This window comes from Homo sapiens, chromosome 17 (genome assembly GCF_000001405.40).
Source record: "Homo sapiens chromosome 17, GRCh38.p14 Primary Assembly".
Taxonomy (NCBI): Eukaryota; Metazoa; Chordata; class Mammalia; order Primates; family Hominidae; genus Homo; species Homo sapiens.
In genome coordinates, this window is record NC_000017.11 from 40,912,771 (window position 1) to 40,938,428 (window position 25,658).

At 41.1% G+C, this 25,658-nt stretch overlaps 1 protein-coding gene and 2 long non-coding RNA genes across 12 annotated transcripts in view; 2 read left to right on the forward strand and 1 right to left on the reverse strand.

The window, feature by feature from the left end:
* Positions 1-8,721, forward strand: part of LOC105371777 (uncharacterized) — a 70,694-nt gene extending 61,973 nt beyond the window's left edge. The window contains exons 1-3 of one of the 2 annotated variants that reach the window (XR_934755.3): positions 996-1,063; positions 5,459-5,595; positions 8,638-8,721. This is a non-coding gene — a long non-coding RNA (uncharacterized LOC105371777). Of the gene's footprint in view, positions 1-995; positions 1,064-5,458; positions 5,596-8,637 lie in introns of those variants that run through there. The other variant, XR_934754.3, reaches the window with a different exon arrangement.
* KRT23 (keratin 23) lies at positions 9,930-24,876 on the reverse strand. 8 transcript variants are annotated; one of them, XM_047435728.1, is made up of 10 exons: positions 24,576-24,876; positions 24,358-24,489; positions 23,438-24,183; positions 18,603-18,685; positions 17,170-17,326; positions 15,676-15,837; positions 15,468-15,590; positions 12,584-12,804; positions 11,702-11,733; positions 9,930-10,313 (listed from the first exon to the last, which is right to left on the reverse strand). In XM_047435728.1, the coding sequence occupies exons 3-10, from the start codon at positions 23,831-23,833 to the stop codon at positions 10,219-10,221; spliced, it is 1,269 nt and encodes a 422-aa protein (XP_047291684.1). In that variant the 5' UTR covers positions 23,834-24,183; positions 24,358-24,489; positions 24,576-24,876; the 3' UTR covers positions 9,930-10,218. The 8 variants fall into 8 exon arrangements, with proteins under 8 accessions (XP_047291684.1, XP_047291685.1, NP_056330.3 ...); XM_047435729.1 differs by having other exon boundaries at positions 24,332-24,489; NM_015515.5 differs by lacking the exon at positions 24,358-24,489.
* The window catches only part of LOC107985072 (uncharacterized), a 55,255-nt gene continuing 45,429 nt past the window's right edge, over positions 15,833-25,658 (forward strand). For both annotated transcript variants that reach the window (XR_001752886.2, XR_001752885.2), the window contains exon 1: positions 15,833-15,912. This is a non-coding gene — a long non-coding RNA (uncharacterized LOC107985072). The remainder of the gene's footprint in view (positions 15,913-25,658) is intronic.

Consider the following 25,658-nt stretch of genomic DNA (forward strand, 5'->3'; position numbering starts at 1 on the left):
ATAAGAGTTACGGGTGGCTTTATGAAGCTTTTGTTGAGTGTGGGAGGGTGGAAAGAGCTTTACTGAAGAGACATGTTTTCTGTTTCCCAGTTCAAATCAATTTCCTTATCATGATACAAGCAAGGGTAATAATTATTAGGATTATTTACCATGATTATGGGTGACAGGAATTGCAGTTGGGCAAAGGGACTCTTTTGTATATTGTAATTTCCTTCCCTAAAGTTCTAGCTTCCTTATTTTGTCTTCCTAATAGTGACTCACACCGCAGTAGGCAGGAAGCAGGTATTTAATGACCACTTCTTCACTGGTTCTTTATTCCAACTCCATTCATTCCAATACAAATTTCTTGAAAACAAAGAATAATGACATCCATAACACAAATGAAAGCAGCCTGTCTAAGCTGATTTAATTTAGTATGGAATAGGACGCAATTTCACAGTTAGAGTTATTGTTGTTTATTTTTTTTTATTATTTTTTTTTTTTCAGATGGAGTCTCTCTCTGTCGCCCAGGCTGGAGTGCAGTGGCGCAATCTCGGCTCACTGCAAGCTCCGCCTCCCGGGTTCACGCCACTCTCCTGCCTCAGCCTCCCGAATAGCTGGGACTACAGGCACCCGCCACCATGCCTGGCTAATTTTTTGTATTTTTAGTAGAGACGGGGTTTCACCGGGTTAGCCTGGATGGTCTCCATCTCCTGACCTCGTGATCCACCCGCCTCGGCCTCCCAAAGTGCTGGGATTACAGGCATGAGCCACTGCGTCTGGCTGTTGTTTTTATTCTTAAAACTTCAGCCATCATTTGGTTCACTGAAGAAAGAAATGGCCCTTGAAGAGAATTTAGAAAGATTTTTATAAGTGAATACTCACTTATACATAAATATAGACGTATATTTTTTAGTGCTAGTTAGCTAACACAATAGACAATCCTGGACAAGTGTTTTCCATCCTCTCCTGTGAATCTGATTTGTGAACCTCTCATAGCTTTTACTACGCATGGAGTCCAGGAAAAATTTGGGACAAAGTGATCGATCTTAATTTCTAGACTTCATTCTGTCTTCTGTTCTTGGTGAGAACCTAAGAAACATCTTCCTTCCAGGCCTGACTTAGTGCTCTTGCAGGTTTAGCTTGCTTGGAGCAAGACTGTGCTAGTGGGATTCTAACGATGCCACCTTTCCTGCTGTGTTGTTTATCCTGTTCAGTTGATAGAGGACCTATTGAGACTGGTTTATAGACACGACACTCACTGTGGGGAATGCATCGAATTGCTAATTGATCAAAATCACCCATAATCTTGCGACTCGTGGATCAGCAGCCTTAGCATCCTCTGGGAGCTTGTTAGATGTCCAAAATCTTGGGCCTCAACCCAGAACAATTAGATCAGAATCTGCATTTTAACAAGATCCCCATATGATAAGTATGCACATTAAGATTTCGGAAGCACTGACATATAAGGCTTGGGACTGGGTGGTGACCTGAAACTACTGCTTCCTAGGGTGCTGGGGATGATACATGAACATTTTCACAATATTTTTTTTGTGATGAATCTCTGGATAAAATATTCTCAGCTGATGACTGTTGATGGTATTGGGTGTATCTGTGGCCTGTCCATTATTACTACCCTGTCTTTGTCTTTCTTGTCCTATCATATTCTGTGAGTGTGTGGGGAAAGAAAATTTTGATAGAAAACAGGAGTGAGTGTGGAGTCTAACTGGACAGGTTGGGGTCTGAGGTCCTCCAGGTTTGGAACTTGCTAAACTCTCTCAGGGAAGCAATCATCGTCCCTGATGCTGATTCGTTTTAGGCTAAAACAAGTTAAGAACACACCTCTGTATGAAAGCAGTGGATGCTTTGAGGTTTGATTAATGAGAAGGTAGCTTTTGGTTATAAAAACCTGTCCTCTGGTCCTGAGTGTCTATTTCTGACTCATGGATCTTGTCAGAACAAGATCCAGGTAAATGATGTCAAACTACCAATTGCCTCTGAAAAATATGAGTTCTGATTTTCAAATAGAAAATCCAGATTTCTCATACCTGGGCTCTTACCTTAGATAAAAGCCATCAGCAAGGGCTCATCAAAATGTGTTGCCCATATTCAGATTTTACATAACTCTCTAGCAAGCACTTTTGACTTGTGTGGCACAAAGAGTAAATATACTGGGTACAAATTCTGTTTCCACCATTTTATAGCTGTATGACCACAGGCAAGTTAATGCAGTCCATTTGAGCCTCAGTTTCCCCAATCATAAAATAAAGATAATGATATGCCACAAGGTTTTGATAAATGTTAAATGAGATTGTGAATGTAAAGCTCAGTCAAGGATAGTTGTTATTTAAAAAACTTCTGGTACATGTGTGTGTATGTCAATGCATACATGCTATGCTGCGTATGCATACCATGGAATTAGCAAAAATTGACTTGTAGTTTCTATTAGATGACTCATAATTTTATTAGATGAATTCCCATTTAAATTTCAATGGGAAGTTTGGGTGAGTAGGACAACCCATGTACTGAAATAGTTACACACACACACAAAGTTCAAGGTAAAACTTCTGAGTATGATTAGATCATCAGATCGTTAGGTATGTGAGAAGCACTGTCTTTTCCTTTTTGCATGATCTCACCTCCAGTATATTTTAGAAACTCTCTAACTCTCTTCAGAGAGATGGTGACACGTAGATGTTGTAATAGAATAGATGAGATGGGAATGAGTCACACATGGGAATGAAAGTAGGCCTATAGTCATTCGGAAAACCAATGTTGTTACCATAGGGAAATAACCAACAAAATACTTCAGGTGATATGTAAACACCAAAAATCTGAAAAGTATTTATTGATTAAAAGCTGTAGAAAAGTATAGCATTTAGAGTATAGCATTGTGAATAATCATGGCTAGAATAAATGAATTATACTCTTAATGACTTTTAAATATTATGACTAGAAGCTACGTAATAATTATGATCACCTTAATTTGTAAATGACTTATAGTTTCTTGGTGAGGGAGAACATTGCTTAACTATGTTGAAAAGAGATCTCCTTTCAGTGAAACTGTTGGTTTGTGTGGTATTGGAGGCATAAATATTTGTAGAGAAATTGTTAATGTCCCTGGAATGAGGAACTAAAAGAGAGTCAAAAGGAATTGAAACTCAACGAGAAGAAAAAGAATTTCCTTGGGCATCCCAGCATGCTTAAGTGAGGAGCAGGGGATGCCCTGACTTCAGGTTGGAGCTACACTGCTTGGTCCCACTTGGGAAGGAGCAGAGAGGAGAGCTGTGAACATCATGTGCAATGGCTTTACTCTTTACCATCTCTGAAGAGGGTAGACCTTTGCTTTTCTCTTGAAAGTTTTGATGTCATCTATTGTTATTAGACCAGGACTTTCATTAGAGGTCCATGTCAGTGTTAAAATGACTAGTATGCTGGTCAAAAGTTTGGTGGGATGCAAATGAACTAGTTCGCCTTAAATCAGCTATTGTCACTGAGCAAATAACAGAGTCTTCTGTTTAAAATACTCTGTTTCACTTGCCTATTGCGGCATGAAAAATGACCCCAAAACTCACTGGCTTAAAACAACCACCATTGTATTTGTTCACAATTATTTTGTGGGACAGAATTTTGGATTCAGAATAGCAGGGATGGCCTGTCTCTGCTCTGTGATGCCTGGGGGCAGTGGCATTGTCTTGAATGGCTGGAAACTGGCTGGAATGGCTTGACTCAGTCATATGCCTGGAGCCTCAGTTACAGCTGTTGCCTGGAGCTTCAGTTATGGCTGTTGCCTGGATTCCTCAGCTTTCCTTGGTGTGGGCTCTCCAAGAGGCTAGCTTAGACTTCCTCACAGTATGGTGTCTCAGGGTAATTGAACTTCTCACATGGTAGCTGGCTGCCTATAGGGCATTCCAAGAGAATAACTCCCAATGTGAAAGCATTTAGTAAGCCTCTGCTTGTGTCAAGCTTGTTGATGTTCCATTGGCCAAATCAAGTCTCATGACCAAGCCCAGCGTCAATGTGGGAGGCAGTAGAGAAAGGCCTGACTGCTGGAGGCATGGATGCATTGGGGCCACCAATATGTACAGCATACCCAGAAAATAAAACCATTATTTAAATGAGAAATTTAAATGCACATTTATAAATTTTTAAATTTACCATTATAAATAATGATATTATTTACTATCTGTTTTCTGTTGTGCAAGACCAAATAGGTATATGTGAAACTATGGTACAAATTGCTTCATGTCCATGAAGGGTATGCTTAGAAATATGTTATTTTATCCCAAAGAAATGGCACGCTATATTATTTCACACAAAGTAAACTATTCAAAATCTCTAAGCTAGGCCGAGTGTGGTGGCTCATGCCTGTAATCCCAGCACTTTGGGAAGCCAAGGTGGGTGGGTCACTTGAGCCCAGGAGTTCAAGACCAGCCTAGGCAACATGGCGAAACCCTGTCTCTACAAAAAATACAAAAATTAGCCAGGCATGATGGTGTGTGTCTGTAGTCATAGCTACTTGGGAGGGTGAGGTGGGAAGATGGCTTGAGCCTGCAAGGTTGAGGCTGCAGTGAGCTGAGATCATGCCCCTGCCCTCCAGCCTGGGTGACAGAATGAGGGAGGCCCTGTTTAAAAAAAAAAAAAAAAAAAAGGAAAAGGAGAAGAAGAAGTCTCTTCTTAGCACTAAATATCTAAATGTAGTCTGTGTTAAGTAACCCACTTACAGCTATCTGTAAAGAAAAATCTAATCTTTCGTACATACCTCTGGCTTACTTTTTTCTTATAATTATGGACATTTTTTCATATTGGTTCCAGCTTAGAGAGTGCATAAGTTATTTTGGCTTTTCAGTAGTTCATACATTTATAATTGTTATTTTTAATTTGCTATGAATTAAAAAATATGGTATGTTTTCTTCAATTCTGATGTTTTTATATGTTGAAGATGCTGGAATGGATAGGAATGAGACCTGAGTCCCAGGAGGGCTTGGATAACTTTTCTAGTCTTTTGATTCCTTATCTCTCACATAAGAAGTTTCAATCAGTTGATTTCTATGTTTACTTTTAATGCTGATATTTTTGATTTCAAATTACATGTAATGCCCTAATTAACTATTTAGAGAAATATAAAATGTGCATTTGGGAAATACTAAAATAATCTGATATTTCTTTAAGGAAAAAAATTGCTTCTTTATTCCTTAAATTAATTTTTTAGTCACTTGGCTTAGAGATGTTTTCTTGATGGGTCTCTTATTTGCATACATTACTATTTTACTTTGCTTTGACAAAAATCTAAGAGGTAAAAGAAATGAGGAGTCTAAAATAACACACAAATTTCCATAAGAGAAACTTACTACAGGAACCTAACACTTTGGAAAAATATTTGATTAAGTACCTGGAAGAATTTTGCTAGACTTAGGTGGAAGTATGCTTGCAGAATTTTGTAAAATACTTTTCTGATTTCCTTGTCTTTTTTTTCCAGACAGATCTTGCTGTGTTGCTCAGCTGAAGTATGGTGTTGTGATCAAAACTCACTGCAGCCTGGAACTCCTGGGCTCAAGACATCCTCCTGCCTTGGCTCCCGAGTAGCTGGGACCACAGGTGCAAGCCTCTGCACTGGTGAATTTTTAAACTTTTTATATAGACGAAGTCTCATTATGTTGCCTAGGCTAGTCTCAAACTCCTGGCCTCAAGTGAACCTCCTGCCTCAGCCTCCCAAAGTGCTGGGACCGCAGGTGCGTGCCACTGTGCCTGGCCACTAAAATACTTTTGTAAGTGAAGTATTTGTCTCAATTCTAAGTTTTAATTCAGCTGTATTTCCTGGAAGCAGTTCTCTACAATTCTGTAAAATGAAACTCTAATCACTAGTGCTTGGGGATTACGTCCTTTTTTTTTCATTAGTTGTCATTAATTCCTGTTGGGAGTATTGAAAAATTAGTAATATGGGAAACATACAAACAGATCAAAAAAGCACTCATCTGAAGGTACCAGTGTAAGTTCACAAACTTGGCTGTACATTATAATTATTTGGGACTCTTTAAAACAAATTGATGGCTGGGTCCCAACCTCCACAAGTACTTTTTTTTTTTTTTTTTTTTTTTTTTTAATACAGAGTCTGGCTCTGTTGCTCAGGCTAGAGTGCAGTGGCACAATCTTGCAGTCGCGGCTCACTGCAACCTCTGCCTCCTGGGTTTAAGTGAGTTTCATGCCTCAGCCTCCTGAGTAGCTGGGATTACAGATGCCCACCACCACACCGGGTAATTTTTGTATTTTTGGTGGAGATGGGGTTTCATATTGGCCAGGCTGGTCTCATGCTCCTGATCTCAAGTGATCCGCCCACTTCAGCCTCCCAAAGTGTTGGGATTACAGGCGTGAGCCATCATGCCCGGCCAAAAGTCTTGATTTAATTATTCTAGAGTGTGGCCTGGCATTAGAATTTTCTCACCCCCTCCAGGTGATCCTGATGTGAGCCAAGTTTGAGAACCCCTGCACTAAAGAAACGTCCTCGGGTCTCCTTCTGTTCCCCACCTTTTGCTGCCAGAATTCGAGTCCTTACTCCTTGCTAGACTTTATGACCTCTTCCCTCCACATACTGTTGCTACATTCCTTTAATAATGAATTTTTATGTTTAGTTCCCGATTTACACATCATCAGCAGGGTAGGTGTGTAAAAATAATAGTGAAGACATGAGTCTATAAAGGTGTGCATTTGATTGGATTAACAGTATTAGATGGATCTATCTATCCACTCCACCATTTTATGACACTGTGGGCAAATATGTTAACATAAATCCTAAATTCCAAAGTGATACATTATACTTCTCCGGATTAGCCATCGGTTTGTTTAGTTGGATTTTGGGTTATAGAATGATAATTGCTATTTATTCAAAGTGTTTCTGGAATGAAAACAATAGAACTTATTGCCACCTCCTTTATGTGGGTTGGGTGTATGTTGGTCAAATTCAAATACAAACAAAATCTTCTTTGGTTGGTAATTCACCTGAATGCATAGGCATTAATTGGTTTGTAATGGGCATTTTGAAACATTTTTACGCTGATTTAAGTGTGGGGGAAGATTATTCTGTGTTACCTAGAGCCCAAAATCATGCAATTGTCTCTTTATTCAGGCAAATGGTTTCATTTCTCTCTTCTTTCCTCTCCTTAGTGAAACAGAGGCAATTTATTGATAGGGTGATCAGCCACCCCAGTTTGCCTGGGACTAATGAGTTTCTGGGCACACTGGGATGAATTGGTCACCTTAATTGATACAGCGAAAATTAATAAGACTTTAAAGATATTTTAGGTCCTTGCATGAAAAATTATTCATATGTTATGATTTACATTACCAAATCATATATAAACTATGATTGTAAATGGAAGGTTTGTGATTGTTTTCTGGATTTGGTATTACAACTTTCTTTTCAGCTTGTCATATTATTTTTAGATATTCCTCAAAATATTTTTCTAGCAGTATTAAAAAATTCACCTTGAGAAAAATAGCATATTTTATGCACATTTTCTAGATTTCAGGAAACAGATAATGTCCAAAACAGCAGAATTAGTTGGTGCTAAAATAGAGAAAAAAAATCATTTTTAGATCTGCTTGGAGACTATAATAACTAGTAACATAAAGAAGTTCTCTTAGTAAAATGAAATAGAAAAAGAGAACCTAATAAAGTCTAATATGAATCCATTCTTGACCCAAATAACAACAAAAGTCACCATATACGGCCAGGTGTGGTGGCTGACGCCTGTAATCCCAGCACTTTGGGAGGCCCAGGTGGGTGGATCACCTGAAGTCAGGAGTGCGAGACCAGCCTGACCAACATGGTGAAACCCGGTCTCTACTAAAAAATACAAAAATTAGATGCGCACAGTGGTGGGCGCCTGTAATCCCACCTACTTGGGAGGCTGAGGCAGTAGAATTGCTTCAGCCCGAAAGGCGGAGGTTGCAGTGAACTGAGATGGCACCATTGCACTCCAGCTTGGGTGATAGAGCAAGACTCCGTCTCAAAAAAAAAAGTCACCACATACAAATGCTGCACAAAGAAAACTTAGTGAAGATGTTTGTGTACTGGTTATTTTTGAGTCTCTTTGAAATAGTAAAGATAAATTATTAATTTTACATCAGAGAGTTAATGTATTTAGTTAAACCAATAGTACACTTTTGCTAGGGTGTGGTTATTCTGTTTTTATTTTTTTTCTTTTTTCTTTTTCTTTTCTTTTTTTTTTTTTTTGGCATTAAAGATCAGAAACACCAATTGTTGCCTTAAAGGGAAGATGAATCCAATTTTAACAGATGCTCAGTTCAGGAAATATCAAAAGCTACCCTTTACAAAGGAGTATTAAACATAGAGACAAAAAAATATGCAGGGCATTGCCAATGTATCAGATGACAATGGGACTAAATCACACCCATTTTTGGTTTAACAGCTGTTAAATGAGTCAAGAGACCTGGATCTAGATCCAGCTGCACCGATCCAGTGAGTGTCTGGGTAAATGCCTTCACTGCTCTGGGCCTCTGTTGATTTGTCTGTAAAATGGGAGATTTTGACTATCCTGTGTCTACAGTCTCTTAAATTGTTAATATCCTATAATTCCATGTGCAGTATTCTGACGATGTCTTAGTGGATATGTGGATTTCCCCCTTCCTTTTCTCCAGCAGTGCTCCTCTGCAGCAACCTCAGAACAGTGGCCCACACTCCTAGAATTTGAGAAAATGGCATCTTCTTCAGAGGACAGAGGTTCGTAGTCTCAGTGGTTTATTCACCTGCTACAGCTCAGCATGTGATGTGGTTTTGCTGTGTCCCCACCCAATTGTCATCTTGAATTGCAGCTCCCATAATTCCTATGTGTTGTGGGAGGGACCTGGTGGGAGGTAATTGAATCATGAGGGTCTTTCCCGTGTGCTGGTCTCCTGATAGTGAATAAGTCTCACAAGATCTGATGTTTTTTTTTTTTTTTTTTTTTTTTTGAGACAGAGTCTCACTCTTGTCACCCAGGCTGGAGTGCAGTGGTGCGATCTTGGCTCACTGCAACCTAAGCCTCCTGGGTTCAAGCAATTCTCCTGTCTCAGCCTCCCAGGTAGCTGGCATTACAAGCACCCACCACCATGCCCAGCTAATTTTTCGATTTTAGTAGAGACGGGGTTTCACCATATTGGCCAGGCTGGTCTCGAACTCCTGACCTCAGGTGATCCACCCACCTCGGCCTCCCAAAGTGCTGGGATTACAGGCGTGAGCCACTGTGCCTGGCCGAGATCTGATGGTTTTATAAAGAGGAGTTCCCCTGCACAAGCACTCTTGCCTGCTGCCATGTAAGACGTGTCTTGCTTCCCCTTTGCCCTCCATCATGATTGTGAGGCCTCCCCAGCCATGTCCACATGTGAGTCAATTAAACCTCATTCCTTTATAAATTACCCAGTCTCGGGTATGTCTTTATACCCGAGCATGAGAACAGACTAATATGGCATGATACTCTGGATCCTAGTATTTGCAATTTGAATTTTGGATGAGTTACTTCCCCTTTTAGAGCCATAGTATCTGTCTGTAATGAGAATTTTTTTCCCTTAATCTCCTTTTCTAGCTTAGAGTAGCCTAAAAGAGAGTTACTCTTTTAGGCCTTTCAGCTTTTTTCCTTTTTAAAAGTGAGATAGCATACTTTTTGGTCATCTCACACTCCCAGTGAGGCTTTCTGGGCCTCCCTTTCTCTGTTTCCTCCCTTCCCTTCCTACTGGCAGAAGTGTGGATTGTGGAGAGCCTCATGACCCATGACTCATGCCTAGGTTGCCTGGCTACAGGGTGACAATTCTGCCCAGTGTCTGGCTGCCGTGAACATGTCTGATGTCTGGAGATTTCTCTGGATCTTCCATGGACGATGTTCTGAGAACCCCTTGTTAGGATGAAACCCTGAGGTGCTGTCTTGCCTTATGATATTAAAAAAAGACACGATGCAGCTAGTGCGGAGTTTTATTGGCTACAAAATAGATGCAAAATGATGAGAATCTGAAGGCTGCAGTAGGAAAGTAGAGCTTTACCCTCATAAACTCGCACTTTGATTAGAAAAGTGCAATATATTAAGAGCATTATGAGAAGTCTGGTGAGACTGTTACAGAAAAAAAAAATAAAAGTTTCTGAGTCTGATAATTCCAAGGGTATCTTTTAGAACTCACTCACTGGTGTCTGTGCAAGGACTTTCCTTGGGGGAAAATAGATTTTACAACAGGCGGAAACTTTCATTGGTCTCATGCGTGCTTTTGGATTTCATTCACTTGACAAAGAACTAATCTTCCGTTGATGGTCTCCTGGGTTATGGCCTTGATCTTTGGAGTTGCAGACACTGAGAAAAAGAGCATGGAAGATGTCACTGCCATGCTTCTTCCACCATCTGAACTGTACTCATTTTCATTTCTCTGCTGTCAGCCCCTGAAGGCTCTCAGTGCCTTCCAAATGATCACTAAGCAATGAGGTGGGCTCTGCTGCTGGGAAAAGGGATTTCCCAAAGGAGGGATTTTCTCCCACTCTCCAGGAAATGAGGATCTCTGAACAGTGTCACCTTCTGGAGGTGAAGACCTTCATCATAGGTGTGCCTCATATGGAACCTAGTCTCTGACCACAAGCACTTGAGGAGTTCTTTCTCTGCCTGTGGGCTTTGTAGCACTGCACAGATTCCTTGAGCTTACAGAGCACTTAGTGCTATTCAGGGTACCTCATTTTAAAGTCTAGAAAGCATGCCACATGAGGAATGGGTGAGAAGCCAAGGATGCTTACCATGGCTGTTTTCAAATATATAACTTATTTGAATAAGTGCCTGTTGAAACATCAATAAAGCAATTCTAGACCATAGGGAAGAATTGAAATCATTAATAAATTTACAAGGGAGAATTTTGTTAAATTAAAACCTCTCCATTGGGACCATCCCATCAAGTATGGGTTCCCCATCCTAAGACATGTGTGAAGAGAGTCTCAAAGACCCTTGTCTTATTTTGTAGATGGGTAGCAGTGAGACCAGCTGTCCTGTGATGATTACTCCAACTGATTCTTTGAATCTCCAATGCCTTAGAATAGGTTTATCACAAACTAATCAGAAAGTGCCACTTGTCCCAGACTACAGTCTCCTGCAACTTTTCTGTGAGATATTAAAGGTAATCTGAGAAAGCATGTTTCCAGGTCAAAGATGTTTGGGAATACTGGGCTAAACAAAGTTAAACTTTTGTTGTTTCTACCTCTTTCTTGTTCCTTTTCTCCTTCAAAGCAGTACCTGTTCCATCTTTAATACACTGAACTGCAACAGGACTGTCCAAGAAGAGGATCATGGCACACAGTATTTCTAACCTTATCTGGCCATAGAACACAGTGTTCGTAATACACTATTCAAATCTCATGGAACACGAGTGTTCAACAGAATCATCTGAGAAATGAAATCATGAAATCATTGCCTCTTAGTTTTCTAGGGGTTTAGTAAACTGACTCCATTACTTAATAGAGACATAATACTATTAATTATCATTTTAATTTTCTTTACTGCTTGCTTTTACCTATATTGAGGACAATAATGAGAGCTTACATCATTTTGTATTAGCTAATTTGTTCATTGAAGATTCCTGACCCAGGACATTTTGAACCCAGGACATTTGGGAGTACATTAAGGATTATGACTACTACAAAATGGATAACCATGCTAATTCCTTAAAAACAGAGATTCAAACAATGAAGGAAATTTTTTACCTTTCATGCTCGACTTTGATTCTTCCCGTGTCCTATAAAAGTGATAAAGGTTAAAGCTCACTTTAGTATTAGCAACAATCATAACAACTTCTCAGGATGAACTAACTTCCTTCGCTTGCTTGTAAATCCTCTGCTCTTTAATGAGGATAATTGTCTGAGCTTAGTAGTCTCAAGGTCATGGGTTCACGGGAGAACCCGTCTGGATACAGAAGGCATTGGGTACCGCCTCCTGCTAACCCTGGAGTCAGGGGAAGTCCACCAACCATCCCCTCCTTTCAGCTGCAAGCTTGGTTTTCTCTAGGATCCCTGCCAGGGTCTGGGTCTCAAGCCTGAGACCCCTGAGCTTCTCAGGCTGTTCAAAGTTTGGTCTAGTGATGTTTTATTTATGTATTTTTATAAAACTTCTATCCCTTCCTTTCGGATCATAGAATATATATGCCCTTTATATGGCCAGCTGTTGTTATTTCCTGGGGTGGCCAGAAATATCAGATTGAAAGTCTAGACATCTCTAGCTCATATGCATCTTTTTTTTTTTTTCTCTTTTGCTGGTGGACTAACACATTCCCCCTGCCTTCTTTTTTTTGGAGCCAAAATTGTGTGCATTCCTACTGGGAAACACAGTGGCCAAATCCTTTTGAATTGTTTCCTTCTAGAGACTTTAACTCTTCTGACTGCAAATCTTAGTGTCCTGTGAGTATTAGTTGATTAATTATACTTGCTGCTTAGTGAAATACAGCCAGCTATAGGTATCTTCTGGAGTAGCTCAACACAACTTTTCTCTTGCTAGAGTGACTCTTGCTAACAGAACCCAAAGATGCACACATATACCCACAGGAGCTGGAGGTCCCTCGCATGCTCCTCTCGTGCCAGCCTTTGCCTTACCCTTCACTCTCTCCCTCCAGGAGCCGTCGGTACGTGGTGATTTCCTTCTCCAGGTGGGTTTTGATGCCCAGCAGCACTTGGTATTCATTGTTCTGCCGCTCCAGTTCATGGCGTAGCTGCGTCAGTTCCTCCTCATAGTGGGAGATGATCTCTTGCATGTCCTGGAGCTTGCAGGAGTACCGAGACTGGGTCTCGGATAACATGTTTTCCAAAGCAGATTTCTGAAAGAGGAAATGATCTTCTGTTAATTAACTGATGGCTTGATTGAGTCAATAACAGGTGATTGTTGAGTACTTAGCAGATGTCGACCAGTTGGCTAGGTGTCTTGGTAGCTGCTGAGGACACCAAGATGAGAAGTAGGCTGACTTACAGGTTTGGGACTTGGGCAGTCAGGAGTTGAGCAGTGTTAGGACTTTTGAAGTCCATTGCCTTGCTCTGAACTGTTGTTTAACTCCTTTCATTTTATCTTTGACCTGATTGAAAACTCCCAAAGAGCGACAGCAACTGGGACTGCTATCTCTTTGTATCTTCGGAGAAGGGTCTCAATTAGGGATGCCAGATAAAATAGAGAACATCTAGTTAAATTTGAATTTCAGATGAGTAATGAGTAATTTTTTAGTGTAACTATGTCCAAAATATTGCTCCAGTATTGCATGGGACATGCAAAAAAAATTGCTTTTTATTTGAAATTCCAACTAAACTGAGTATTCTATATTTTAATTTGGTAAATCTGGCAACCCTAGTCTCAAGCAATGCTTTTTGATTATGACGATGGTAAAAAAAAAAAATGTCATTTTTTGAGGAAATTCTAACAGCTGCCAAATGAAGTTTCTGGGCTAGAATATGGAGGATTGAGTTCAAGTCCCAGTTCTGTTTGCATGTAACACCTGCTTTTCTGAAGCGCATAATTTTAACCTTAAAGAGAATCTCCTAACTGTGCTGGATACTCTCCCTTTATCGTGGCTGCTAATTTTCAGGGGGCCGTTCATGCTGCCTGGCGGTTAAAGCACATTTCCCTGGTCAGCCAGTCTCCTACTCTCCCAGGAGGTTATTTTGTTCCCTCTCCTCTGTCCTTGCCATCCTTCCTCGGAGTCCATGGCCTCGCTTCCTAATTTTGTTGATGAAATGAAAGCAATCGGGAGAGACCGCCCACTGCTCCCTACATTGCTCCCAGGCACATACTTGAATCTGCATCTGGGTGCTGGCTTCCCTCTGTTCTTTTGTGTGAGCTGTCTGTGCTCCAGTCATCTCGGCAGTTGCCCGCCTTCTTGCGTTATCAATATTCTCTCTGGATTATTCCCACCAGCTTTCAAATAGAATAATTTTTCCTACCTTAAAATATATCTTTCTTAAACCCATATCTACCTTCAGCTATCATCCAATTTCTCTGCTCTCCTTCAGCTACAGCAAAGCTCCTCAAAGAGTTGTCTATGCCTGCTGTTCCTCTTGAGACCCCTCCAAGGTAGCCTACAAAGCCCTACACTGTCTGGTTCTGTTGGGACTCCGCGGCCTCACCCTGTCTTCCTCCCTCTTCCCCTCCCTTCCCCTCCTCTTCTCTCCTTTCTTCTTCCCTTCATTCACTCACTGTAGCCACATGGACTTCCCTGCTGCTCCTCCAACTCATCAGACACACTTGTGCCTTGTCGCTTTTGCACTTGCTGTTCCCTCCTCTTGGAACACATCCCATCACCACATCAAGCACCTCCTTACCTCTTTGCTCACTGCCACTCTAACAGGAAAACCTTTCCTGACCACCTTGTTTAAGATAGCAGCTCTTCACCCTGGTGCATCTGCCCTCCTCCTCTGCTTCATCTCTGTAGCAATTTTCTCCATCTAACATATATTTTGATGATTTGCACATTTATTATCTGTCACTCCTACTAGAATATAAACTCCTTCATTAAAAAATCCTCAGTGCTAAGGATTGGTGTCAGATAGTAGAATGCATGAAAATGGGTATACATGCCTCGCCTGTTTCACAGGGCCATTGTGAAATACTGTATGTTAAAACGTTTTGAAAGTTGCACTATAATTATTTTTGTACTCATGATCTCTACGTGCACATTTGCAGTGTCTGTTCACCATCACGGATGCATAAAACACAGCAGTCATTTACCCAAGTGCACCTGCAACATAAATGAACAAATCATTGCCTCTCAAGACTGAGGGTAGAATCGCACTTGGCAATTATATGGATGAATGATTAGAAGACTCAATAGGGTATACTGGGAATCAAATGATAGACCTTCATAAATTTTGAATGCTTATGACCATGCTAAGCATTTTTCTAAACTGTGAAGATGATAGAAATGACTTGGACACAAGAACTTAGAGTTTTCTGGGTGATAAGACATATACATAAATGAATAGGGCAGTGCTTTGGAGTTAGCCAGGCCTGGATCTGCCACCTACCATGTTGGCACTGGAATTTCTCTACATTGGGGTTTGAGGGGGGTAGCCTGGTTGTAAGTGGAGAGGGCACTGATAGAAATTATGGGGGTCTAGAATCCCCCTTCCTCCAAATAAATCATATGGTTTCATCACCAGTTACTTACTAGCTGTGTGACCTTGGCCAATTTATTTTACTGTTGGAGTTTTGGTTTCCTCATCTCTAAAATGGGGACACTAAGACCTATCTGGGAAGGTTACTGTAAGGATTAATGACATTTAATATCATGAACTACTTAGCACAATGCCTGGCACCATCGGGACACTCAATACATGGTAGCCCTTTATTATGGTTCTCATCATAAACAATTTGGATGGAAAGTGGAAAGTGAGAGTTGTCCCAAGGGAGTTGAGGGTCAGGGCCTGGGAGAGAGGTCTCAGAAGGCTTCGTGAAGGAGGTGGTGTGGGATTCACGGTTTTCCTAGCCTTGACTCACCGTGCTGTACTGTGTCTGCAGGTCAATCTCCAGGGCCTGGAATGTGCGCTTCAGTTCGTGGATGTCACCTTGTCTGCTCTGCACAGTGGCTGGACTGGCTGCCTCCTGGGACATGGCTGCAGACTGTGGGACCAAGCAAGGCAAAGGCGTCAGCATTGGGACCTCATGGAAATGCAACCTTTGGGAAGTTTGTGCATCTTTCTTTTACCTGTTCTTTATACCAAGTGTCCAAGTCTCGATGCTTCTTCTTTATTATAAGCTCATATTCTTGTCTCATATCCTCCAGGACCTTAATCAGATCTTCCCTGGGACCTGTATCCACCTTCACATTGACATTGAAGTCACTTGGCACATGATGCTTCTCCATTTCCTATTTAATAACAGAGAAAGGAAATGAACCGGCTTTGACAATCAGAAGGCTGGATTGCCATGTTGATTGGCAGTGGTAAATAGATCTTTTAAACATTCCGATTATGTGGTTGCTCCCACTGTCACTGGTTTGGTTTCTCAAATATTACTTACTTGTTGGTGATAAAACATTGTATACTTTTTTCTCTAATAATTTTATAAAATAAAGAATATCTTTGAGACCAACCTGACCAGCATGGAGAAACCCTGTCTCTACTAAAAATACAAAAAATTAACTGGGTGTGGTTGTACACACCTTTAATCCCAGCTACTTGGGAGGCTGAGGCAGGAGAATCGCTTGAACCTGCGAGGTGGAGGCTGCAGTGAGCCGAGATTGCGCCACTGCACTCCAGCCTGGGTGACAGAGTGAGACCCTGTCTCCAAAAAAAAAAAAAAAAAAAAAAAGAATATCATAAGGCAGGTAATCAAATAGCCTCCATGATTACTGACTTGATCCGTGGTTGAAAATATTTCAGAAAGAATTATGCTTCCATAGTGTGCAAAGTCCTGTTCAGCAGATGTGGATTGGTGAAGTGACAACATAGTTAAGCAGCTGAACCTTACAGGCTATAGGCCAAAGCTTTTGGGAAGCAGTTCAAGAGGCAAACAGCAGAAAGAAGGTGTAGAGGCTTTCAAAATCTCATCAATGCCTTGTGACACTGTAGGGCTGACGCCCATAGGATTTCATGAAAACCAAGCAGCCACAGGAAAGGTTTAATTAACAATCATTGTCTAACCAGCTATTCAGAAACTGAGCTCTTTGATGTTGAGAAGCAATTTTGTTTTCCTAAAATGGGAACTGTTTTTCTATCATTTTATCAGAGTCTTGAGGACTTGTGATGGATGGTAACTCTAAAAGTCAGTTAAATGCTTCTGGAAATTAGGATTCTTTATTTTTGCCCCACATCACACTTATCTTGGTTGGTAGCAGACTCTCTTCATTATATTGTCCCCTAACTTGCTGAACATTGGGCCAGTGATGGAAGTCCAGTCTCACGCATTGATTCTTATAGTAACATTAACAAGCACATCTAGGTAAACATTGTGTATTAACAAAACTGTTGACCAATTCATCATTAATTATGATTGCATTTTGGTTGTTGTATTTGACATGTGACTAGCTAACCTTGAAATTAGAAACATTAGATATTTGTATGTTTTTCTAAAGACTATTTAGGGTGAAGGACAAGGGGATTGGCATCCAGGTGGTGGTTTCTTCTGTAGCTGTCGAATCAGCCTGAGATGTGCAGGCTAAGAGCTGTGCTTATTAGCAGGTGTTCCTGGGGAGTTGTACCTGCTCATGGTGCTTCTTCATGAGAATGAGCTCTTTCCTCATTCCTTCCACCTCCTGTTCTAGGTCTGTTGTGACAATGGTCAGGTTGTCTAAGGTCCTTCGGAGGCCCTCGACTTCAATTTCCAAGTCTTTCTTAAAGGAGTGTTCATTTTCATACCTTTGGTGAGAAGGAAGAGAAGAGTGCACTCATTGTTGGAAGGCCATGGTTTTTGAAAGGATTCATTTTCATTTAGAGGTGAATCTTTTACTTTTTAGGTTTAAAGAGAGCAAATGAATACATATAGGATGTCTTTTTTATGCCAGTTTCATGCTACACTTCTCCATGATGGTGACTCAATGTCAACTTTTAAATTGAGTAGGGAGAATAGGATAATAAACAGTCATATACCCATTATCTATATTTAGCAACCATGAATGTTTTGCCATATTTGCTTCATCTATTTCATTGCTGAAGTATTTTAAAGCAGATTATAGATGTGATGACATTTTAAGACTAAATACTTCAGGATGCATCTTTTAAGAAAAATATATTTTAAAATAAACAGGCCGGGCACGGTGGCTCACACCTGTAATCCCAGTACTTTGGGAGGCTGAGGCGGGCGGATCACGAGGCCAAGAGATTGAGACCATCCTGGCCAACATGGTGAAACCCTGTTGCTACTAAAAATGCAAAAATTAGCTGGGCATGGTGGTGTGCACCTATAGTCCCAGCTACTTGGGAGGCTGAGGCAGGAGAATCGCTTGAACCTGGAAGGCAGAGGTTGCAGTGAGCCGAGATCACGCCACTACACTACAGCCTGGCAACAGAGCAAGACTCCGTCTCAAAAATAAACAAATAAATAAATAAATAAATAAATAAATAAAATAAACATAACACTACACCTAAACATTAATAACAACCCTTTAATATCATCTAATTCTTGATTCATATTCAAACTTCCCCATACTATAATGTGCTTTATATCTGATTTGTTTAAACTAAGGTTCATTCAAGTAACACACAGTGCATTTGCCGTTGCTATGCCTTTTCATTATAAGATTTTAGATGCGGGTAATGGCAAGATGAGTTTTCCTTTTTTTTTTTTTTTTTGAGATGGAGTCTCACTCTGTTGCCAGGCTGGAGTGTTAGTGGCGTGATCTTGGCTCACTGCAACCTCCACCTCCTGGGTTCAAGTGATTCTCCTGCCTCAGCCTCCCGAGTAGCTGGGACTACAGGCGTGTGCCACCATGCCCAGCTAATTTTTGTATTTTTAGTAGAGATGGGGTTTCACCATGTTGGCCAGGATGGTCTCGATCTCTTGACCTCGTGATCCGCCCGCCTTGGCCTCCCAAAGTGCTGGGATTACAGGTGTGAGCCACCGCGCCCCGCCGAGTTTTCCTTTTGTAAAGCAAACAAACAAAAACCCGAACAACCCTGTGAAGAAGGAACTTACTTGAGGTTGAAGTCATCCACTGCCATCCTGGCATTGTCAATGAGAAGAATAATCTGAGCATTGGTCATCTTACCATCCACTATCTGTAAAACATGCACAAAAGCACAAAAGGTTATCTCACTTGGACACACCCACACATGACCGCTGCATGTCTGTCCTCTAGCTTCCTGAATATTTGACTTGTTAGTACAGACAACTTCTTGTTCTGGCAGTGGAACAATGAATAACCGAATCAGTAAATGCTTAGTGAGCACATACTAGGTGCAAAGCAGAATGATTTTAAAATAAGAATATGATCTGCAGTCAGTGTTACTGCCTTTTTTCTTTTTATGTTGAGTTTTGACAGGCTTGGATTGATGCAACTGCTGAAAGAATGATATAGGAAGGGGAAGGACAGTAATTGTTCAAAATGCCCTCTAACTTTTTAGGTTATGGACATGTCATAGCATTTTGCTTAATTAAGCTCATCCACAGCTGAAGATGTTAAAAGGACTTTAGGTTCTGATCCTTTTCTTATTGTATTAGGTTGGTGAAAAAGTGATTTTTGCCATTACTTTTAATTAGTTCAGCCCTCCAAAAATACAAAAATTATTATTTCAGGTGAACATAATTCTTACTTGTGATAGCAATCATGTTTCTAATCAGTGTTACTGAGCAACGCTAACACTAATATTCAATGTATTTTGTAATAGTCATCACAGAACACATTTTTTTTTTGCCCGAAGTGACTGTAACTTGAAGGTGTGTTTATGTCATTGCAACTTATTCTGTGATGAGAATGTGCTCATTGTAGCTATTAAAATATTAACTGAAATAATTCCTTACCATCTAAGGAAAATGCTTAAGAAGCTTCAGTAGTGGTAAAGCCTCCAGTTAAAGACTTTCACTAGATGTTCGTATAATTTTTTTTTTACTTTGAAAAGAAAAATAGTATTGAAAGCACTTACTCGAGCAAGTGTGTATACATTTATGATTTGTAAACACTTGTAGGTATGTTATAGTCAGAGAAATAGCACACATTTGATGTATGTCACTGTCTTTAGGGTAGAAGATGTCTCGTTGTCAAAAGTGTAATAATGCTTTTACGCCAAGTGTTGTGCTGGACTAGAAACTTAGAGCTTTTCTTTGGTTCTGGCTCTGTTCTTGACCATCCATGTGGATGCATCAGGCTGCATCACTCTACTCTCCAGGCCTCAGTTTCATCCATTGTCAAATAAGGAGTCTGTACTAGAGACAGAGGACCTTAGAGGTCTTAGCTCTAAGTTTCTGTAATTTAGTTGGAGTCAGAGAATCCTGGGTAATTCCCATTATATTTACATAGCTCATTCCTTTATTTAGAAAGCATTTTCTTAGGACAAAGCTATACTTCAGTACAAAGGCACCTTTTAAAAGTCTGGTCCTATTTAAAGCTCCACTGATCCCATGGAATTTGGTATCATGAATGCACAATAGCAGGATTTAGAGATGGCATGAATGCTGGGTCTGGAACTCAAAGAGCAGGGCCTGGGATCCTGCTCCGCGCTTACTGGCTGGGTGAGATTGGCTGAGTGAGCTTGGCTGAGTCTCAGTTTATTCATCCATAAAATAGCAATAACAATAGTTACTTCATCAAAGAGTTATGAGAATTAGAAGAGAGTATGTCAAATAATGTCAAATAGCATATTATCGGCATATTATAGACAGTGAAAAATTGGTCGAAACTGAATTTGTTCAGAAAAAAGTAAATAATACACCTTTCTTTTTAAAAATCTAGCACTTTTATAGATTCAGTGACTACACTGTGAACATCCCCAGGTTCTATATGCTGAGATGCCTGCTCAGACTTTTGCTGTTCATGGTGGGACATAGCCAGGCTGGCTGCTCCTGCCTCATTCTTTTTCCTCTTGTGGGATTCCAAATGGTACTATGGCCCCTTCCCTTGCTATAAAGAAGGACACTTTTAGATATTTCCTTGTCTCCTCTCCACAGTGCTGCTTAGGGGCATTCTTACCAATACTTCTCCCTCCAGACCCCTTATTCTTTGCATTATGTAAGCTCCTGCAAAATGAAAAGTAGCTCTATCCCAAAGAGCCTGGGGGCCATTGTGGGGTAACCCTTACTTACTTGTGCACTGAGGTTTTCTATTTGACACACACTATGAGGTGTTAATCTACATCCAGAGAATCAGAAAATCAAAAATACTGTCTATGGGCTTATTTAGCTTTTCTGGGTTAAATTGGTAATTTATCCATTGCAAAGTCCACCTCAAGTGTCTGATTCCCCCAGCTATCATTCTCATAGCACACAAATGTGAATTCTGAAATGTGCTTGATATAGAGCACGTTTAAAACTATTTCCCATTATTCAGGCTTACTTAGTACAGAATTATGATATAACCATCATTTCTGACACAATCTTCATGGTAATAAGTGGATGAAGATGGGTTGAGAAACGATATATGAGGCATAGGTTTTTTACTGAGTGTTGTAATTAATCACCCAGATTCTCCTGAAGGCCCTCAGTTCATTCTTTTAAAAGCAAGTTGGCATATTCTTGCAGCATTGTTGCTTCAGGATGTTTGATCTACTAGGGAGAGGAAAACAGAATGTTTGACTGTAAACAAAAATGCCAAATATAGTCCGATTGAGAATCATTCAAGGTGTTTTATTTATGATACTCCTATGACTGTGTCCAATTCTGGATTTCAAAAGGATTGAATTAATTTTTAAGCTCAACTTGTTATCAACCTTTTGAGTGATATTTAATATACCTAAAGTGAGGGTACGGGAGAACTGTATCCACTCAGAGCATTTCACCAAGGTCCAGGAAGGATAAGCCCCAGGTAATTGTGGGACCTCCTTGCACCTCTGTTTTCTCATCTTCAAATGAGGGAGGTTGGGGTAGATAGACAACCTCAACTTTAAAGAGTTTCTTTCTTCAAGTGTAGAGAAAACACAATGTTAGAGGTAAAAATCCAGAAAAGAGTGAAATTCAAAGCCAAAGAAGTTTCCTATTCAATCTCAGAACCCAGAATTCCAGGTCATCTGAAGGGTGGGCAGGTTGCTCCCCACACCCCCCATTGCACCTACTCACTTTTCTCAATTCTGTTCCAAAGGATTTAGACAATGATTAGGTCTCAGTCTCCTTATCTGTAAGTTGAGAATACAAATACCTGCTCCACACAGTTGTGAGGATTAAATGAGACAATGTGTATGAAGTATGTGATGTGTGGTTAATGATGCAAGTATAATGCATTATCTTTATTCATACTAAGTGTCATTTTTATATGAGGTGGGCTAGGCAGCACTACACTGTAGTGAAATTTATGAGGCTACTGGAAACAGACCTGAGTTAGAATCCCACCTCTGCTTCTTGCTGATGGCTTTGGATGGCTATTTCACTTTTTTCCAAGCTTCCATTTCCTTACAGGGTTCTTGCAGAATCAAATAAAATAATATGGAACATTTCCATCATTGCAGAAAACTCTTGGATAGTGTTGACATGTGTATTAAATATCCAGCAGGATGCCTAGGTACATAATAAGTGCTCAGTAAACATTTCCCTCTCTTTCCTCCCTTTCTTTTTTTTAAATCTCTTCCGCGAGCTCATAAATTATTTGACTGGTTCTAACCTTGTATTTCTTTTGGGAGTCATGGTCTCCCTTTGCTCTCCATTTGCAAAAATCTTCAATTCCTCCTTTCTACAACCAAAGCAACTTTATTAAACAAAAAAACATGATGAGGACTGTTGAGTCACCTTGTTTTTTTTTTTTTTTCATAAAGACAACCATGCACTATATAGTTAAGGTAATTACAGTCAGTTATTAGGTTGATTATTCAATAATTAGGGTTCATTACAAGGACAGATTTATATTATCTTGACTGGTCCTTCCTACATTCAAGCAAGGATGACTGAGCATTGTGAAATAATATATATAAATATTGGAAACTTGTGATACCCTTTCTAGGGGAGGTTAAATCATGGTCTTACAGGGAATTTTCTGGGACTGCTTTATATAAGAGGGGAGTTAGATAGCTTTAAAACATAACCTATGAGATGATTGGATTCCTTCTACTTCTAGCTAATGTTATGAGACATCCCAGAAGGTATTTGCTTAGCTTTTTTGAGGTTTGGTTAAAGAGTTCGGTTTTTTTTGAACAAGGTCTTTATAGCCATCTCAACTCTCAGATTCTAAAAATTATGCTCATTTTATTATTATTGGTTCTAGCAATATGCCATTGTCAGAACTGTGAGCAACTTTACTGCAAGCAACCCACAAACGGAAATATCTAGGGATGTCATGATGACCTATATGCTGGTGTGGTGACAACTTTTAGGCATAATCTTCAAAATAGTGTAACAGCCTTTTGTCGATGGATAACCACATTGTTCAAAAAAGTTTGAGGTGGAGCAGAACTGAGGTAATGAGAAAGTAAACACTCTCTTATGCCTGGTGCACTGAGCATGCAGCATGAACACCAGCCCTTATCATTTCTATGACATCGTTGGGTCATAAGTGACATTAAACAGCAGCTGGTTGCCTCACATTTTAAAGATGTTTTTGGTCTGTGAGAAATCAGTAGTCTCATTTTTGAAACAGTCTGTAGCACTTCTATCATTTTTGCTGCCTTCTTTTTCTACATTATCCATGGACAGTAGACTAATTAAACAAAACAGACGTTTCCCACTCCAAATTTAAGATATAATAAGAAAACATCCCCCAAAACCTTTGTGCACAATTACTTCAAGCGCTGATGCCATTTTCCTGGAAATTGTCTTCTGGACTCATTTTTCCTCCCGAGGGTCCCCTGGCAAAGCAGCCCCATCTGGATCTCCAGGGTCACCCAGCATCTTACCTGCTCCTGCAGGTGTGTGATGTTTTCCTCATACTGGGAATAATCTTTCTTACTGCCAGGATCTCTCTGCTGGTGCCATTTCAGGATGCGGCTTTCCAGCTTCATGTTGGCCTCCTCCAGGGCGCGAACCTTCTCCAGGTAGGAGGCCAGGCGGTCGTTGAGATTCTGCATGGTGGCCTTCCCATTTCCGCCTAGTAGGGGGCTGCTTCTTCCAGAACCCCAAGACCCTCCAGGGGGTGGGCAGCTCCGCGTGGTGAAGGACAGGGAGATGCGGGCTCCCCCCGCACCGCCATGGACGGTGGGAGCCCTGGGGAAGCTCCTGGGCCGGCCCCAGCCACCTCCGGCGCCATGGAAGGAGGCCGAGGGGGTCTGGCTGAAGCTGTGTCCGGAGTTCATGGTCCCATCTGTGTTTGGGACGGGGCTGAGCTCTGCTCCACTCCCTGGCACCGCAGAACTGAGCCGCCCCAGACTGCCCTGGATGGTTTTATGGCCTTTGCTGTGGGAGTTCCCTTCTCTGACAATTGTACCAACAAGATTGTATCATTGTGCAACTTGTGTTTCCTCTTGGTCAATCCCAAAGTGCCCCTGGGCCTTCGCACACTGTTGTTGTTTAGAGCCACATCAATATGACAGTTTGCTTCCTCCCTTCCCCTGGTAACCCGGAGGTGTGGCCCACGACATCAGGCGGGTATTGGGCTCAGGTATCTTTCTAATCTTGCCGTGAAGTTTTTCCATTGTTCATTTACCTGGAATGGGTTAGGTTAAAGTCCACCCAAAAGAAAGCATATTCGATGTAGTATAGATTTCCTTAAAAAAAACCAAAAACCAAAACCAAAACAAAACAACAACAACAGCAACAAAAAACCAGACATTAAACAACAGAGATACACACACCTTTTTCCACCCCCAATAAGCCCCACCTCTAAAGGGAGGGTGAGCGAGCCTGGAGAAGGGAAAGCCAGCTCAGAACAGGATCTCAGGTCCCAGAATAAAGCTTGCTGTGCTGAGGCAGCCGAGAAGGTGGTGAATATCTGATGCCTTTGTGGCAGTCACTGTTTGAAGGAAAGTACTTTCAAAGGACTCGCTCTTAAGAACAAACCCTCAATTATAGATGTAATTAATTAATGAATGACCGAACCTTCCACTTCCAGGGTGCCTTTCATCCCAGCACACCTCAAAACCAAACAACCCTGGCCTGCGCTCAGGATTTCCCTTGGCCCTGGGGGAGGAATGTAGCCGTTGTTAGCAGCCCCGGACCCCGGCTGAGCCTGCCACGGCTGGGCTCTGTGTGTCTGTGACCTGCAGAGGGACGATGGAAAACAGGAAACCTGCCATGGGCTGTCAAATGTGGTTGATGAATCTTATATTTCATCTGCCAAGGTAAAGGTTAGGAATGAATAAAGAAGCAGTCTGGGGGCGGGAGCCACGTGCTAGTTACTGGCAGTTGGATTTAAAGGGGACTTACAAATAAAATATCAGCGCAGGAAGGGCTTCTGGCCTTTCTGGTTCCAAGCCACTAATTGGACAGATGAGGAAAGCTGAGGCCTATGGTGGTGGGGAGGTTAGTGGCAGAGCCAGGGCTAGATTCTTTCTCCACATAGCACTGTTATCTTGGGTTGAATCTTGACAGGTCCTGTACCACACTTCTCTTTCATAATAATAGGACTTGCCAATTGGTGTAGCTCTTTTATATTCTTTATTGAATCCTCACAACTCTTTATGTATCCAGGCAAGGGTTGTTGTCTTCATTTTGCAGACAAAGAATCAGGGTCTCATAGGGATGAATGATCCAGAGCTGATTCGCATGTACAGTGTAATTGAGCACATGAATTCATAGGTGACACTGCCCGAGTCTGTGCTGTCCTCCCTGCCTGGAAAGTCACTCACCCCTACCTCTTCTATAGTTCAAGGGCTACCTCCTTCAACAATCATTTTCTGAATTCTCCTGCATGAGTTGGGTGACCCTCTAGGAGGAAACTGCCTCTTCTGGATGCCGAGGTCCTCCAGAGGGGCAGACACCTTGGCATCCCACCTCATGGTGGAAGCTGGGAGCCCCTAGCCAGGCGCAGCCACCTCCTGTGCCTGGGATGAAGTCCACTCCGTTCTTTCACTCCATTATACTGCATTTGCCACACCCTTCTGAGACCGCAGGCTTCTTGAAAGCAGAGTTTATGTCTTCCATTTTTGAGCACCAAAGTCTGGTTTCTTGGTGGTATTTTGC

Bases quoted from the DNA above. Each gene is read 5' to 3' on its own strand.
- KRT23 (NM_015515.5), bottom strand. From the start codon at position 23,833: ATGAACTCCGGACACAGCTTCAGCCAGACCCCCTCGGCCTCCTTCCAT. The intron at 15,591-15,675 runs GTAAAAGAAAGA...TTGGTCCCACAG, and splicing joins ACACTTGGTATAAAGAACAG to TCTGCAGCCATGTCCCAGGA. The intron at 12,805-15,467 runs GTGAGTCAAGGC...TTCCTCTTTCAG, and splicing joins TGCAGACACAGTACAGCACG to AAATCTGCTTTGGAAAACAT.